At 41.7% G+C, this 16930-nt stretch overlaps 1 protein-coding gene across 13 annotated transcripts in view, besides 2 other annotated features; it reads left to right on the top strand.

Annotated features, from left to right (window-relative positions):
- Positions 1-16930, top strand: part of BCAT1 (branched chain amino acid transaminase 1) — a 139317-nt gene that overhangs the window by 2342 nt on the left and 120045 nt on the right. The gene's annotated exons all lie outside the window — the stretch shown is intronic.
- Positions 3895-4064: a silencer, noted in NCBI's record as "silent region_4292". NCBI's record gives its function as "represses an Ori minimal core promoter by ATAC-STARR-seq in GM12878 lymphoblastoid cells {active_cell/tissue: GM12878}" and the evidence as "EXISTENCE:reporter gene assay evidence [ECO:0000049][PMID:35858748]".
- Positions 15246-15435: an enhancer, noted in NCBI's record as "active region_6105". NCBI's record gives its function as "activates an Ori minimal core promoter by ATAC-STARR-seq in GM12878 lymphoblastoid cells {active_cell/tissue: GM12878}" and the evidence as "EXISTENCE:reporter gene assay evidence [ECO:0000049][PMID:35858748]".

Raw genomic sequence — 16930 nt, 5'->3', positions numbered from 1 at the left:
TGCTGGCCAATATTTTCATCTGATAAGTTTCAGTAATGAGTAATTTCACTGGATTTCAGAACTACAGAGAGAAAAGGGGAAAAATATTTTTCCTTTTTTACGCAAGAATTTCTCTTGCTTTTCAGCTCATTAGAACCAGATCTAATTATTTGAAATGAGTTTAAAACCTTATTATGAAAGGAAGTTGAAAACATTCGATCACAATTGAGTTTTGTACTATGGACTAAAACCAAGATGTGCTTTCTGTCAGTAGCTGTGCAACTCCCTGAAAAAAGAAAAATAGCGCAGAGCGATCTGAGCTTTGTGAAGGCTACACAATTTATCAGGCCCAGAGAGATAGGAGTGTGAGACTTCAGTCACGTCCCCCCGTACGCATGCGCAGGAGTAATTATTTAAAGACATTTTGTTCCTGACTAACTGCCTCACTCATTATGTTCCTGGAATTTGTGATACAAAAAAACAATGTTTAGCCTATCAATAGTTTATATAGTTTATGTTATTTTAATATAAATTCTTCTCAACTTAGAAACTGCCTCTTTTTTCTTTTAAAAACCCACTTGTAACTGCTGTATATATTCAGGGCAACTTGATTTGGTGTTTCGTTGGTTGCAGTCCTCAAATTTGACCTCAATATACTCTCTACTTATATAAATTTTGTCTCAGTTTTGTCCGTAGGCTGACATTCCAATTGTTTTCCTAATTATATATTTTGTTCCTTATTTCTCATGTCTAGAAATAAAGCTAGGGAAGTAAACAGCTGGAAAACTGATAGTGGTGTTATTAACCTAACTGAGAGGGCTGGGCTTATGAGTAAATTATTCCTGTGCATAAATGAAAGATTGTTTCTAAATGGCAGCTATGTTGAGCCTTTGTATTAGTTACATCTTTTGGGGTTTCAGGTTGCCAGCTTCTTTAAATGGCCTCTTCTCAACTGGTATAGGAAGTTGGAAAATAAAGAACTTTCTTTATTTCCCTTTAGTGTTGGTAACCACAGTTTCTTTAAATAACAGATGCCCACCCCAGGGAAACCCAGTGGCATGATCAGCCTTATGCTCAGGAAGGTTTGGTTGCTATACTGGAGAGTGAGAATCTGGGACCTTCCATGATAGACATAATTGTGCCAGCTATCCTCTACTTTCTATATGATGCTATCATTCTTTTTTCTTTTCTTTTTTTTGACAGAATCTCACTGTGTTGTTCAGGCTGGAGTGCCGCAGAGTGATCTCTACTCACTGCAACCTCTGCCTCCTAGGTTCAAGCAATTCTTGTGCCTCAGCCTCCTGAGAAGCTGGGATTACCACCATGCCCAGCTAATTTTCGTATTTTTTTGTAAAGACGGAGTTTTGCCATGTTGGCCAGGCTGGTCTGGAACTCCTGGCCTCAAGCGATCTGCCCATCTCGGCCTCCCAAAGTGCTGGGATTACAGGCATGTGCTATCATTCTTTTTGAGCACAGGAGGAAACTATGGCTGATCTGCTCATTTTACTGTCAAAAATATAGGCAGCTTTTGTATTGTAACATTATCCCCTTAACAGCTGTCCAACTGGTCTATACATTTCACCTAACATATGGTAAATGTTCCTACTGTTGGCCTTTCCTGAGCCTCTGTCCATTCAACTAAGGCCACTGCAATGGGATTGTATGCAGTTCAGCCAAGAAATAAATGTGAGGTGCAACTCACATTTTTTAAATGTTTCAAAATTAAGCATTTAGGTGCTTTTATTCATAAACATGACTTTGCAAATATTGGTAAACAGTTTCATCATAAGACCTTGTCAGTGACTCACAATGTCAATGGTGAACGCAAAGGAGAATCTGTCTTTTCTGGAACACCAGGTTCAGGTATCAGTTTCAACTATGCTTATAATTTGTGCTCTAAAGTCCACAAAGCTAAATTATCTTTCCCCTAAAAATTGAGTACTCATATCCTTAAAATAGCTTGGAAATTAGATTACCTTATGAATACAGCATAGCATGTCACATAAACGTTTTTCTACTGTTATACCTTTTTGGTGGGAAAGACTATTTTGCAAAACATTTTTCTTGTGTTCAGTAATTAATGGGAAAAACAAACTCTAAAAGAAAGAGACAGTTATGTCCCAAAAATACAGGAAAATGGAAGAATGGAAACAGGGAAGACCAATAAAGAAAAAAATAGAGGAAATTACAAGTAATAAACTGAAGTCATACTGAAAAACATATGGCTCTTTCTTATTGAAAGTTGTGAAATACTTGCAAAACTCAGCTAGTTCCATTAAGAATAGTCTTTAATCTAAAAAGAACAAATTCATTTGTCAGTTCTTTATTTCGGTGTGTAGATTTGAATGTTTCATCAATTGCATTTACGGTTTATCCCTCAGTGTGAGAACTGTTTTTGCTGTTTTGACTATAAATGGATATCTGCTTTAGGAAGACTTAGGAAGCCTGGGACATAGGATTACAGATCAAATTCTATTTGACTCCATAGAAGTTGAGACGGAAGGAGCACCTGTTGGGATATTCTAGACCAAACATTCCACAGCTGTCTCTTAACGTGACTGACAAAGAGACACAGTTGAGACGAAGTTTGGGTATATCCTGGGATGAGGCCAAGGGTGGATTTGCACAGGATGGTCACAGGGCAGTTGTTAGCATTCCACCACTACATAAAAGGGTGATTTTGCCAAGTGCATTTCATTTCATTTCAGTTGATTTAGATACCAAGTTATATTGTTTTGACTTTAGGACTAGATGTGAGTTCAGGAATTTGAAATCATAATAAATGTTTCCTTGAACTTTGAAGATAAAAGGTAGAGTTAAAAGACAGCTGCGAAGTCTACATGGGGAAGCATAATACATGACTCAGGGTTCCATGGTTTTCAGTGTCGGTGAGTGCTCTGTACACTTATAAGAATAGTGCTGGTGTTTATAGAAGAAACACATGCAGGTTTGAGGCAAGACTTCCTTGCTTAATTGGTGCTTTTGCTTTCCATTTTCTAAATGCCATGCAAACTACTTTTTTTTTTTTCTTTTGTTGAGACGGAGTCTTGCTCTGTCACCCAGGCTGGAGTACAGTGGTGCGATCTCGGCTCACTGCAAGCTCCGCCTCCTGGGTTCACGCCATTCTCCTGCCTCAGCTTCCTGAGTAGCTGGGACTACAGGCGCCCGCCACCACGCCCGGCTAATTTTTTGTATTTTTTGTAGAGACGGGGTTTCACCATGTTAGCCAGGAAGGTCTTGATCTCCTGACCTCGTGATCTGCCCGCCTCGGCCACCCAAGGTGCTGGGATTACAGGCGTGAGCCACCGCTCCCGGCCTCAAACTACTTTAACTGAAAACATTCTTCTAAGGAAAGCATCAGAAAACTTACTAGAATTGCTTAAGAATAAATAAATAATACAAATAAAAGAGCAAAATGAGAAAGTAGACAGACTCCTAGTCTATTGTGCTATTGATCTCTCCAGGTTCTAGGCTTTCTTGGGTCTGACACCACTTTGTAAATTTTTTTTTTTTTTTTTTTTTTTTTCCAGATAGGGTCTCATTCTGTCACCTAGGCTGGAGTGCAGTGGTACAATCATGGCTCACTTCAGCTTCAACCTCCTGGGCTCAAGTGATCTTCCTGCCTCAGCTCCCTGAGTAGCTGGGACCACAGGCATGTGCCACCACGCCCGGTGAATTTTTGTATTTTTTGTAGAGATGGGGTTTCTCCATGTTGCACTGGCTGGTCTTGAACTCCTGGGCTCCAGTGATCCACCCACCTTGGCCTCCAAAGTGCTGGGATTACAGGCATCCGTCACTGCACTGGGCCAGTTTGTAAATCTTATGAAAAGTATGGCCAATCTTTTGCAAAATGTGCAAACACATATAGACACAAAGTTTTATATCTAAATTATTGGTTATTAAAGCCAGGACAATAGAGTGCATATAGCATGGAAGACAGGTAGAAAAGACTGAAATGGTTTAGTTATTCAGAGCAGTGGAGGGCTATTGGCTCTTGCCTTTGCAGTCAGCTGAGATATGAAACTATATAAGCAGAAGCTTCACGCTGCCATTTGAATATTGAAAATCTCCACTTTTAGTTCAAGAGATAAACAACCAATGGTTTGTTTGTTCACAGCACATAAGTTATCACTTTCTTCTCTGTTTCATCCCATCAAGATCTAAGGTGTATAGTTACAGAATAGAACTCGGTTCATACCATATGCACCCTAATTTCTTCGATCTTCAACTAGTTTGGAAGTGTGTGTGGGTGTTTTCTTAGCCAAGGTTAATATGCAATTTCTTAGTGGAGTGTAGGAGTTTGGGGTGCCTAGCCTTCCTACTTCCCACTTAGATAACTTCCCCTACCTGTTGTACCTGTCAAAGGAGAAGGCCAGTATGGCCATGTTCTTTGCAGGTGACTCCACCTTAGCCACAGCTGATTGTAACAAGGGTGTATATTTGGCCCAAGTCCAGCCATCTTTTTTTTTTTTTTTTGAGGCGGAGTCTTGTTCTGTCACCCACGCTGGAGTGCAGTGGTGTGATTTTGGCTCACTGCAACCTCTGCCTCCCGGGTTCAAGCAATTCTCCTGCCTCAGCCTCCTGAGTAGCTGGGATTACAGACACCCACGACCACGCTTGGCTTTGTATTTTTGTATTTTTAGTAGAGACGGGGTTTCTCCATGTTGGCCAGGCTGGTCTAGAACTCTTGACCTCAAGTGATCCGCCCGCCTTGGCCTCCCAAACTACTGGGATTACATGCCCAGCCAGCCATCTTTTACTTCTTTCTTATTCTCTTATTCCACATATTCAAGCAGGTACCACGTCCTGTGGACTCTGTCTTCTCTGAATCTATAGGTTCTCTCTTTCCCATTGCCCTGCATACTGGTTTATGCTCTCATTACTTCTCGCTTGAATTATTCCAAAAGTCTCCCAACTGGTCTGAAGCTTAATTTTCATTATGTGCTGTTCGATGTCATTCCACCACGCAAAATCTATGGCTTCTCCATTGTCTCCTGAGTTTAGTTTAGTGCATGAGACCGTTTAAAATCTACCTACACCTCTTCTATGTGCATGCATTTCTCTAGTCATAAGAGAGGATTTGATCTATCTCAAAATGTGTTCTTATATTTGCATTTACTGGTTTTTAACTCCCTCCATCCTATCTATAATTTGCACCATGTTGCTCACCATGCAGCCCACTCCCCAGACACCTTGTGAGAACAGTGATCATGTTTTTGCAGTGGAATGAACATGGGCGAAAGGTGGGAAGGTATGCATAGATTTACATTTTGAAGTCAGGAAATAAGATACTGATCAATGCTTTAATTCGACTGTGCTTTTTACCTTTTCCTCTGTTGTAGCATGAACCTTGCCCCAAAAAGATATTGATCATATGCTGCAACTCCTCTGCACTTACCTTTTCTTCTACCATGGCAGGAACCTTGCACCATTGTTGGTGCTTTACAGATATTGGTTGAGTTAAATCGAGAGCCTATTTCTGGACTTTCAAGATTCAGATTAATTGATTCTGTTTTATACTTCTCTGTTTTTGAATGGCACATACATCTTTCCACACTTGGATTTCTTTGAAGTTAAAGCTTTAATTGACTTCCAAAAGACAGAGGATTATAAAAACACAGAGAACAGTAAAGTATTTACACGGTCTTAATGCCTATTGCCAAACACATATAGCTGCTATTAATGCCTATTGCCAGACTCATATAGCTGCAAACTCATGTAGCTTAATGCCCATTGCCAAACTCATATAGCTGCTATATATGTCTACTGGAAAACTCACATAGCTGGTTGATTTTAAATTGATTGTAGGAAAATTCATACAAAAAGATGCTACATAGGAATATAAACTGAACACCACAAAAATCGTAATGAACAAACTCAGTAATGCCAGCCTGTTCAATCACTAGTTTTCAGATTAAGGCAGTATGCAAAGGGAAACATCCTTGGAATGGTCTTAGAATATAGAACAAAGTCATGTGTTTGGGAATCTTAACCAATTCCAATACTGTTCAACATGTTTTTCTTTGTTGCAAACAATGCAGTTTTTAAGCAAACTAATGAATGCATACCCTGACAAACAAATCCAACAAAAGAGGTACTTAGAGCAGTGTTCATTGAATCCTAGAATTTTGAAAGAAAAAATCTATTAGGTCATTTTGGGCTTTTACTTCTGCTGAAGAAGGATTGTTCTTTTGAGTTTATTTTTCTAGCTTTCAGTTCTATTCCATTTAAATGCCTCGAGAAATAGGACTTCTCAAATTCCCTGTGGAGAGTTCTGGCACCTACTATATTCACTTTTGAAAGTCTCCTGATAACTGATTTCCTTTTTCTTTTGGTTATACACATCAACTATTCATGGTTGGCTCTGCTGATAGTTTTCCATGATTCTTTATGCTTATTTAAAAGAAATCATATAACATTAATCATATAACATATAACCATTACTTGGTTATAAAGCATGATATTAACTAAACTGGCTTTTAAAAATTCAATAACATTAGAGCAAATATTTTATTAATATTGTCAGTAGTTCCATGAATATATAGATGTAGGATGTCAATAAAGTTTATGCCCCTTAATAACTGAGTGTGTTAATGTTGTATTTGCTGGTTAACTGGCACCTTCCCTCCTTTTGATCAATGTTCTTAGAACAGTATGTACAGGAGTACTTTAGTCTACCACTTGATATTCAAGGACAACACTTCGAAGCTTGAAATGAGGGATTGTTTTAACCATATTAACGTAACTGCATAGTTTGCAATAGATTTAATGATTCAACATCATTGTTAATATTTAGTTTAATTAAAAGTGCCTTATATTAACTTGTACACATGTGAAATGACTTATCAACAAGATTATTTATTGCAGCATTGTTTGTGATTACAAAGAGTGGAAGTCATTTGCATAGTCATTAGGCGTAAAAAATAATGACATTAAAAGAAAACAATTGAGGAAAGAACCAGTAAGCTCTCAGGTAGAGATAAAAAGAAAGTTACCGTGAGCCTTTTCACTGTATATATTTATATATTTGATTTTTGACACGTGAGTTTATTATAATCAAGATTGAATGAAAAAAATTGAAGCCTTTTAATGAAATTAGCTTGACACCAGAGTCATTATCAAGAAAATCTGAAATACTGGTACCTATGCACATTTGATTTTATTATTTTTAGTTTTATTATTTTTTGAGACAGAGTCTTGCTCTGTCGCCCAGACTGGAGTGAAGTGGTGTGATCTCAGCTCACTGCAATCTCCAGCCTCCCAGGTTCAAGCGATTCTCCTCAGCCTCCCGAGTAGCTGGGATTACAGATGCCTGCCACCATGCTTGGCTAGTTTTTGTATTTTTAGTAGTGACGGAGTTTTGCCATGCTGGCCAGGCTGATCTCAAACTCCTGACCTCAGGTGGTCCACCTGCCTCAGCCTCCCAAAGTGTTGGGATTACAGGCGTGAGCCACTGCACCCGGCCATTTAAGCAAATTTTAGTTAAGACCAGTAACATATTTTTGACAGTATTTCCGAAGTGTTGTATTTAATTTAACTAATTGAAAATTATCTATTAAGAAAGCAAGTTAAATGTAATGTGTATACTTCATAGTATACACATTATAATGATTCATAGTAACCATTATATGAAGAGTGTCTAAACTTTTCTTCAAATCTACCATTTATATAGTACAATAATGACCAGCAAACAATGGCTAAGTTTTACTTAATTAGACATTTGTGTAGCTCCTACCAAGGCTACCAGACTTTGTACCCAGTAACAGGAAAACAGAAATAATTCAAGCATTATTCTCACTCTTGAGAAACAATTCTATTTAGGGAGATATACATAAAAAGCAAAGGTGGCTGGGTGCAGTGGCTCATGCCTGTAATCCCAGCACTTTGGGAGGCCAAGGCAGGCAGATCACTTGAGGCCAGGAGTTCGAGACTAGCCTGACCAACATGGTGAAACCCTGTTTCTACTAAACATACAAAAATTAGCTGGGTGTGGTGGCATGCACCTGCAATCCCAGCTACTGGGCAGGCTGAGGCAGATAATTGCTTGAACCTGGGAGGTGGAGGCTACAGTGAGCTGAGATTGCACCACTGTACTCCAGCCTGGGTGACAGAGCGAGACTCCATCTCAATGAATAAATAAATAAATAAATAAATAGCAAAGGCAATAATGTGCATATAGTAGGTGCTACAGTAGAAGTCTGCACAAGGTTCTGTGTATGTGGAAAAGACAAGTCAGAAAAATTAGGAAAGGCTTTATTGGGAGGTGACATTTAAGCAGAATCACGAAAGAAGACCTGATGAACATGGGGGTAAGAGCACTTGTACACAACCCCATACTCCTGGGCTCAGACTCACTTGCTCATTCCCTAATCATAGAAGACCTTGAGGAAAAGCATGCTGGGGTTCCCTTCCAGCCCACTGGTAAATACAGAGAGGCCTAAGCACCCAACATCCCCCAGGGAATACACCACTGGGACTTAAAGCATTGGCAACCCAGCACCCAGTTAAATTCCCCTTGTCACTGTTTCCACATTGTCCCCATCACCTTCACTCTCTTGATGCTCTGCATTTTCTCTCTTAACTCGACCCACAGTAGACCCTCCCACTCAAATCTGCCCCCAATAACCTTTGCAACCAATATTACCGCACTACACTTTATCTTCCCTAAGGGTTTCCTGCTCCTCCTGGTCTTAGGTGAGGTCATTTCTCTGCCAGCCTTTAAAGTGGAAGCTGCTCATTTTCTCTGTCCCTCATCCAGGGCTGGAGTGGGACTGATGCCCTTCACCCTGCCCAGTACTGTTTCCACATGAGACTCCTTGCATAGCATCTGCTCTCTGCTACTCAGACCAGGAGTCTGTGCTCTCTCTTCCTCTAACCATCATTGGAAGACACCCCAGTCCCTCTGGCCCCATTATCCACTGTAGATTTTAGCACTTACCTCCTCTCTTCCCTCCCATGTGCTGTTTTCCCATTTATTTTAAGGTGCATGTGGATGGCCCATTCCCCTTCCTGGCATCTTAATCCCTTTAATTTCTCATTTCCATTAATTTGCTACATTCCTCATATGCCAGCTACCCCTATGGCCATATCCCAGACCTTTGAATCACACACCAAATTCCATCAAGTCCTATGAGTCATTTTTGGTCCAAGACCTATCTTACATCTATGCAGTCCTATCTATTTTAACAACCATGTGCCCAGTTTAGGCCACTGTCTTCTCTTCACTGAATATATGTGTTCCTGTTTTTTCTCATCCCCATTTGTTTCCCAGACACAATTTGTTCTCCAGAGCAGAGTGATCACATCAGTCACCTGCTATAAAAACTCCTCAACCCGGTGGGGCATGGTGACTCACAGCCCCAGCACTGTAATCCCAGCACTTTGGGAGGCTGAGGTGGGAGGATCACTTGAGCACAGGAGGAGCTGAAGTGATCTGTGATCACGTCACTGCACTCCAGCCTGGGCTACAGAGTGACACCCTATCTCAAAAACAAGCAAACAAACAAACAAACAAAAACCAACAAAAAATTTTTTATTAAGCAAAAAACCTCTTCAACCTCTTCCTGTTATGTTTTGAATAAAAGCTAAAGTCCCCACCATGCTCCAGAAGTTCCCAAGGGATCTGGTCCTTCTCATCTTTACAGCCTCATCTTGTTTTGCCGTTTCCACCTCCCTCATCCCCCAAACTCTTTTTCTTCAGGGCCTTTGCACTTGCTGATGCCTCTGCCTGGAAGGTCTTCTTCTGATTCCCCATCCAGGGGTGCCTTATCACCCTGCCCTGCCAACCTCAGATTGGATGCTACTTCCTCAAAGAGACCCTTGGGACTCCCATGTTTCCCAGGCTTTCAGTGCCCTCATCTCAACTTGTAATGATTGTATTGGGGTGATTATTTGTATGACTTTGGGATTGATATCTGACTCTTCCACTAGACCATACATTTCTTGAGAGCAGAGAGCATATCCAGTTTTTTTACCACTGTGCAACCATATGTCGTCCAATGCTTGGCCCATAATAGGGGGTTGGTGAATGTGGTAGGCTGAGTCATAGCCCCCAAGGATGCCCATAGCCTCATCCCCAGAAGCTTTCATGGTAAAAGGGATTTTGCAGATTGTGATTAAGTTATGGATCTTGAGATGGAGAGATTATCCTTGATTATCTAAATAGGTCCAATATAATCAGTAGCGTCTTTATAAGAGAGAGGCAGAGGGTCAAAAGCAGAATCAGAGAAGGAGATGCCACAGTGGAAGCAAAGGGGTGTGTGTGTATGTGTGTGTGTATGTGTGTGTGTGTGTGTGAGAGAGAGAGATTGAGATTTAAAGAGCTCCATTACTTGATCTGAGGATAAGGATGAGCCAAAGAATGCAGGTGGCTTGTAGAAGCTGGAGAAGCCAAGAAAACATTCTCACTCTAGAGCCTCCAGAAGGAATGCAGCTCTGCTGACACCTTGATTTGGAACTTCCAGAACCATAAGATAATAATTTTGTGTAGTTTTGAGGCTGGGCTCATGCCTGTAATTCCAGCACTTTGGGAGGCCAAGGTGGGTGGATCACTTGAGGTCAGGAGTTTGAGACTAGCCTGGCCAACATGGTGAAACCCTGTATGTACTAAATATACAAAAATTAGCCAGGTGTGGTGGTGCACGCCTATAGACCCAACTACTTGGGAAGCTGGGGCAGGAGAATCACTTGAACCCGGGAGGTAGAGATTGCAGTAAGCTAAGATTGTGCCACTGCACTCCAGCCTGGGCTACAGCGTGAGACTTCGTCAGAAAAAAAGAATAATTTTGTATAATTTCAGGCCACAAAGTCTGCAGTCATCTGTTACAACAGCAGTAGTACACGAATACAGATTTTGGTACCTGGAAATGGTGTGCTACTGTAACAGATACCTAAACAATGTGGAAGTGGCTTTTGAATTGGGTGTTGGGCAGCATGTGGAAGAATTTTGAGAAGCATGATAGGAAAAGCCTAGCTTGCCTTAGAAAGACTGTTAGTAGAAGTAGGGATGTTAAAGGCGCTGCTGGTGAGGACTTGGAAGTGAAGAGCATGGTAAAGAAAATGTGTTTCATTTTAGAGAATATCAAAGTCATTGTAGAAGGTTGGCAGAAGTGTAGGTTTTCATAATGTGTTGTTGGTGAGGGCTGAGAAAGAAATGAGGACCATGTTTAGGGAAACTGGAGGAAAAAGATCCTTGTCATACAGTGGAATGAAACTGTGGAATTGTGTCTTACAGTTATATGGGAAGCAGAATTTGTTTGAACTTGGATATTTGGCTTAGCTTTCCAAGTAAAGTATTGAAGGTGTAGCCTGGTTTTCTCTTGCTGTTTTATAGTAAAATGCCCGAGAAAAAGGGATAAATTGAGGTAGGAACTGTTAAGAAAAAGGAACAAAGACATGATGACTTGGGAAATTCTCAGGATACCTGGTTTGTAAAAGATGCTAGAATTAGAAGATTCATTGTCAGGAAAGTGTGCTCTGGAGAGGAAGCCAAGGGTGAGTTCCTTGTGGCGTAGGTTAGGGGCTGTGGCAGGGATGCAGGGAAGAGATGATGGTGACTTGGACTAGGGGTCTGACGGGGTATGGGAAAATAGAGAGGAATGAGTTGATTCTGTTGGGACTTTGTATTGAGTTCCTTGATTCCATAAGTGGAAACACATGTAGAGCTCTCTTTCCTGGCCACCTAAGCTCTCTGACCATATCCCTGACTCTCTCCAGAATGCCTTGGCTTCATGTCCACGTGAGGACAAATCATATTTTTCTGCATTTTGCGTGCTGGATTCCTCTCTGGACTAAAGATCCAATGAGAGGTGGTTTCTAGCTTTCTGCTCTTTCCCACAACACTCCGTCAGTGAGTCTTCTGGATGTCCTATAGGCAACTCACTGGATCCACTTGGTCTGTGGAAGAATCACTACCACATCCATTTCACCTTGGGCACAGACTAGAAGGTGAGGCAGTCATGTCCTGCAGTCACTGGGTAGCTTACAAGTGCTAATACAGCAATAGCTTAATTAGAGAGAGAGAGAAGAAGAAGAATGTTATGGAGCCTGTTTCTAGAGAGGAAACCACAATATCTTGATCAAGAGACCCTAAAACTGGAAGAACCAGAGCAGCTGGTATCAAAATGTGGAAAAAACTGAGATGTGGCAAGTGGTACAACTGATAGCCAAGGAGGAAAAATTTGTATCCCCCTGTAATCCCAGCACTTTGGGAGGCTGAAACAGGTGGATCACCTGAGGTCAGGAGTTCGAGACCAGCCTGGCCAATATGGTGAAACCCTGTCTCTACTAAAAATACAAAAATTAGCTGGGCGTGGTGGTGTGCACCTATAGTCCCAGCTACTTGGGAGGCTGAGGCAGGAAAATTGCTTGAACCTGGGAGCAGAGGTTGCAGTGAGCCAAGATCGCACCACTGCACTCCAGCCTGGGTGACAAGAGTTAAACTCTGTCTCAAAAAAATAAAAAGAAAAGTTTGTACCCTCTTCTTTTCTCTTGCCTCAGGATAACTGAGATTCTTATAATGCATTTATTGAACAAATATTTGAGGAGTACTCATTATGTAAGCATCAGACACTGCTCAAGGTCTTGAGGCTGTGAGGGTGTATTAGTCCGTTTTCACACTGCTATAAAGAACTACCTGAGACTGGGTGATTTATAAAGAAAAGAGGTTTAACTGAATTACAGTTCATCATGGCCAGAAAGGCCTCAGGAAACTTACAATCATGGCAGAAGGTGAAGAGGAAGCAAGGCACATCTTACATGGTGGCAGGAGACACAGTGAGAAGGGAGAAGTGCCACACTTTTAAACCATCAGATCTTATGATGATATAGGAGTTAAGAAGAAATCACTTAGGTAGATAGTGAGGGTACGGGAGTCCTTGGTAAGGCTTTTCTTTTAAATGAAAAGCAGCCCCACACATAGACAAGCAAGCTGGGAGCTTGCACGGGTGAATGCCGGCAGAAACTAGGAACCAGACACGTTAAGATGGCGGCTCCATTTTCCCTTCTCTGCCAGCCAAGTGTACAGTAAGGAGCAGACAAGCTGGTGCCGGCCAAGAGGAGAATTCATGTGCATAATAAGATTAGGGTGGGGTGACCAGCCTTCCCAGTGCGCTATGTGAACATCATACCTGATTGAACCAATCTGTGAGCCCTATGTAAATCAGACACCACCTCCTCAAGCCTGACTATAAAATCTGGTGCATTCGCCACCCGCCGGTGTTTCCTCTCAGAAGTCCCCTCTCTCTCATTAGAGAGAGGGCTGTTTTCCTTTCTCCTTCTTCTGCCTATTAACCTGTGCTCCTAAACTCCCTGTGTGTGTCTGTTCTGAATTTTCCCGGCATGAGAGGATGAACCTGGGGTATATACCCCAGAAAACATAGCCACTTAAGTGAGAACTCACTCACTATTCACCCCCAAGATCCAATCACCTTCGACCAGGTTCCTCCCCTGGCGTGAGGGGATTAAAATTCCACATGAGGTTTGAGTAGGGACACAGAGCCAAACCAAACCATATCAGAGGGTGAAGAGCAGGTAAAGTTGCAGCTCTCCTGCAACTTGCAGGGAAAGGCCATATAACACATGGTTATGAGCACAAACTGGGACTGGACTGCAGGTGTGTGAGCCCCAGCTTTGCTATTGAGTGACCACCAGCAAGTTATTAAACTGTGCCTCAGTTTTTTTGTTTATGAAATGGTGGTATTAGTACAACCCACCTCTCATGGATGATGTGAGGATTAAATAAAATAACATGTTGCCAGGCACAGTGGTGCACACCTGTAATCTCGGCACATTGGGAGGCTGAGGCCCGAGGGTTACTTGAGGTTAGAAGCCTGAGACCTGCCTGGCCAACATAGCGAAACCTCATCTCTGCTTAAAATACAAAAAAAAAAAAAAAAAAAAAAAAAAAAAAAGGCCAGGCGTGGTGGCTCATGCTTGTAATCCCAGCACTTTGGGAGGCCGAGGCGGGTGGATCACAAGGTCAGGAGTTTGAGACCAGCCTGGCCAATATGGTGAATCCCCGTCTCTACTAAAAATACAAAAATTAGCCAAGTGTGGTGGTGGGCACCTGTAGTCCCAGCTACTCGGGAGGCTGAGGCAGGAGAATCACTTGAACCTGGGAGGCAGAAGTTGCAGTGAGCCGAGGTTGCGCCACTGCACTCCAGCCTGGGCGACGGAGCGAGACTCCATCTCAAAACAAAACAAAAAAACCAAAAAAATTAACCAGGCATGGTGGCACACACCTGTAATCCCAGCTACTCAGGAGGCTGAGGCAGGAGAATCACTTGAACCCAGGAGGTGGAGGTTGCAGTGAGTTAAGATTGTGCCACTGCACTCCAGCCTGTGCGATAGAAGGAGACAGTCTGCAACAAAGATCCAAAAACAAATATAAAGCACTTATAACAGGGTCTGGTCTGAAATAAGTACTATGTAAGTACTGTAAGTATTAACTAATATTATTACAATTTATCCTCATATAGTAACATATCAAATATTTTCAGTCAGTGATGCAATATGAATAAAATGAAATGATGCAGTAGTGACAGAACTGAGAGAAAGCTGGTACAAATTTATACTGACTGGTCAGGGAAAGCTTCACAGAAAAGGTGAACTTTCAGCTGACACCTGAGTACCATGGTCTGGAGGTAAGAGTGTCCCATGCATATGGAACAGCAAATGAAACTTCCCAGAGCATAATCTGAGAGGGGAGATTTCAGGAGTGGAGCCACATCATTGAAGTTCCTTAGTCCTGGTAAGTGTGGATTTTATTCTAAGTGTGGTGAAATGCCCCTGAGAGGTTTTGAGTAGTAGATGGAATTCCATTTTTAAAAGTCACTGGTGAGTCAAGTAGTGTACTATGGTTACATTTTTTTCCCCTTATACCTCATTTTGTTTTTCCTGCAGTTAATTCTTGCATTATTTCCTTTTATTTACTTACCTTACTATATATTTATTATGAATTCTTTCCAATTCCCAACTTCCTGACAGCCTCTCAATGTAATTTTACTTAGGTTAAATGTATCTGACAGTTCATTTTCTTTTTTGTCTCTGTACTCTTTCTGCTACCATTCTCATTCTTGCACTAATTTGTGCTGGTTTCTCTCTGAGCCAGCTGCACAGCTGCCTGCCTAAGACTTCCTCTTGGCATCTTTTACCCTCTCTCTGTGTTACATCCCCGGTTTTCTGAATCGTGTGGCGTTCTCCTTTTTACTTTACTTCCTCATTTGTGTTGCACGTATGCTCTAGTTGTTTTTAGATAAAGAGTGCATCAGAGGTAGATGTTTTGATTCCTTACATGCCTGACTTTTTGTTCTACTTTTGCTCTAGGTTAATACTTGATTTTGAATAATATCCTAGGTTAGAAATGATTTTTCGTCAGAATTTTAAGGGAATTGCTTTTCTGTTGTCTAGTTTCCTGTGTTACTGATAGGAAGTCCAAAGGGGCTCGTATTTCAGGTCCTTTTTATGTGTAACCTGTTTTTTGTTCCTTGAGGTATTCAGGGTCTCTTTTTATTGCTAATTTGGGGAGCTTTATCATAACATGGGTCCTTAGTCATTCATCCTAGAAAATTTTCCTTTCCTATATCTTTGATGATTTCGTCTCCTCTGCTTTCCCTCTTTTCTCATTCTTAAACTTCTATTTGTTTGACATTAGACCTCCTTGTTTGATCTTCTAATTTAATTTTTCTCTCCTAGTGTCCAATTTTTGAGGTGGGAGAAAGATCTCATCAATGTTATCTTTCAGCCTTTCCCCTGAATTTTAAAATTTTACTCTTCATATTTCTTCTGATTAATCCTTTAAAAAAATAGCATCCTGGGCCAGGTGCAGTGGCTCACACCTGTAATCCCAGCACTTTGGAAGGCTGAGCGGGGAGTGGATCACCTGAGGTCAGGAGCTCAAGACCAGTCTGGCCAACATGATGAAACCCTGTCTCTACTAAAAATACAAAAACTTAGCCAGGCGTGGTGGTGGGCTCCTGTAGTCCCAGCTACTTGGGAGGCTGAGACAGGAGAATCACCAGAACCTGGGAGGTGGAGGTTGTAGTGAGCTGAGATTGTGTGCCATTGTACTCCAACCTGGGTGACAGAGCAAGACTCTATCTCAAAAAAAAAAAAAAAAAAAAAAGGGCCCTGTTCCACTGAGGCTTCAGTGCGGAGCATGGAGGGATACTACCTCCAAATTCCAAACACGTTTGACACATCTAAAGAACCTTCTAAAGGATGACTAAACTAATTCTGCAAGCTTTAGCCTCTAACTTATCTCCAATTTATATTTAATAGAAGGCTGGAAATTGAACAGAAAGGAAATAAGATTATTTGGAAATAAAAAATTGTCAGCCAAGCAAGGAGAGCTTGGCATTTCTGGAAACTTCTTTACCCTGGAAGAGGTAAAAAAGTGATTCTCCCATTCCCCCAACAGGGCATTCACTAAAAATTAAGTGAGAAATGCTTTGCCTAGAGGATCTGTAGCTTGCGAACACTTGACTTGTGCCACTGGTGTACGGAACATAGCAGTGTCAGCTCTGCCCTGGGACAGTCAAGGCTGGCTGGTGCTGCCTGTGGTTAGAGTCAAGAGAGGGGTCTTCAGTGGGTGCAGTTTGCAGTTCCAGAGTTTAGTAGAGCAAAGACGTCATGAACTATGTGAACTCTGAGGAAAGGTGTCATAGAAACACCTCAAAAGGACACTGTCTAAGAAGGCTACTTGCTGGGGCAAGGAGACCCCAGGGGTCAGAGGCTGTGTAGGGAATAATGCCAGAGCTGGGGTTGAAGGAGAATCCTTAGAGGTGAGACAGAATGTGCATCATTGCAGTGGGGCTGTGCAAGGCAGTGGTCTCCACAGGAGGTGAGGACAAGGGGGAGGGGAGGTTGTGAAGAATCCGTAAGTGACCATGATGCAATAGAAAGCCAGAATTTGGGCATTTGCCATAGGAGAGGGCCCCCAGTGCCAGATTAT

This window comes from Homo sapiens, chromosome 12 (assembly GCF_000001405.40).
Source record: "Homo sapiens chromosome 12, GRCh38.p14 Primary Assembly".
Lineage (NCBI taxonomy): Eukaryota > Metazoa > Chordata > Mammalia > Primates > Hominidae > Homo > Homo sapiens.
This window is presented reverse-complemented; position numbering and strand designations above follow the sequence as displayed.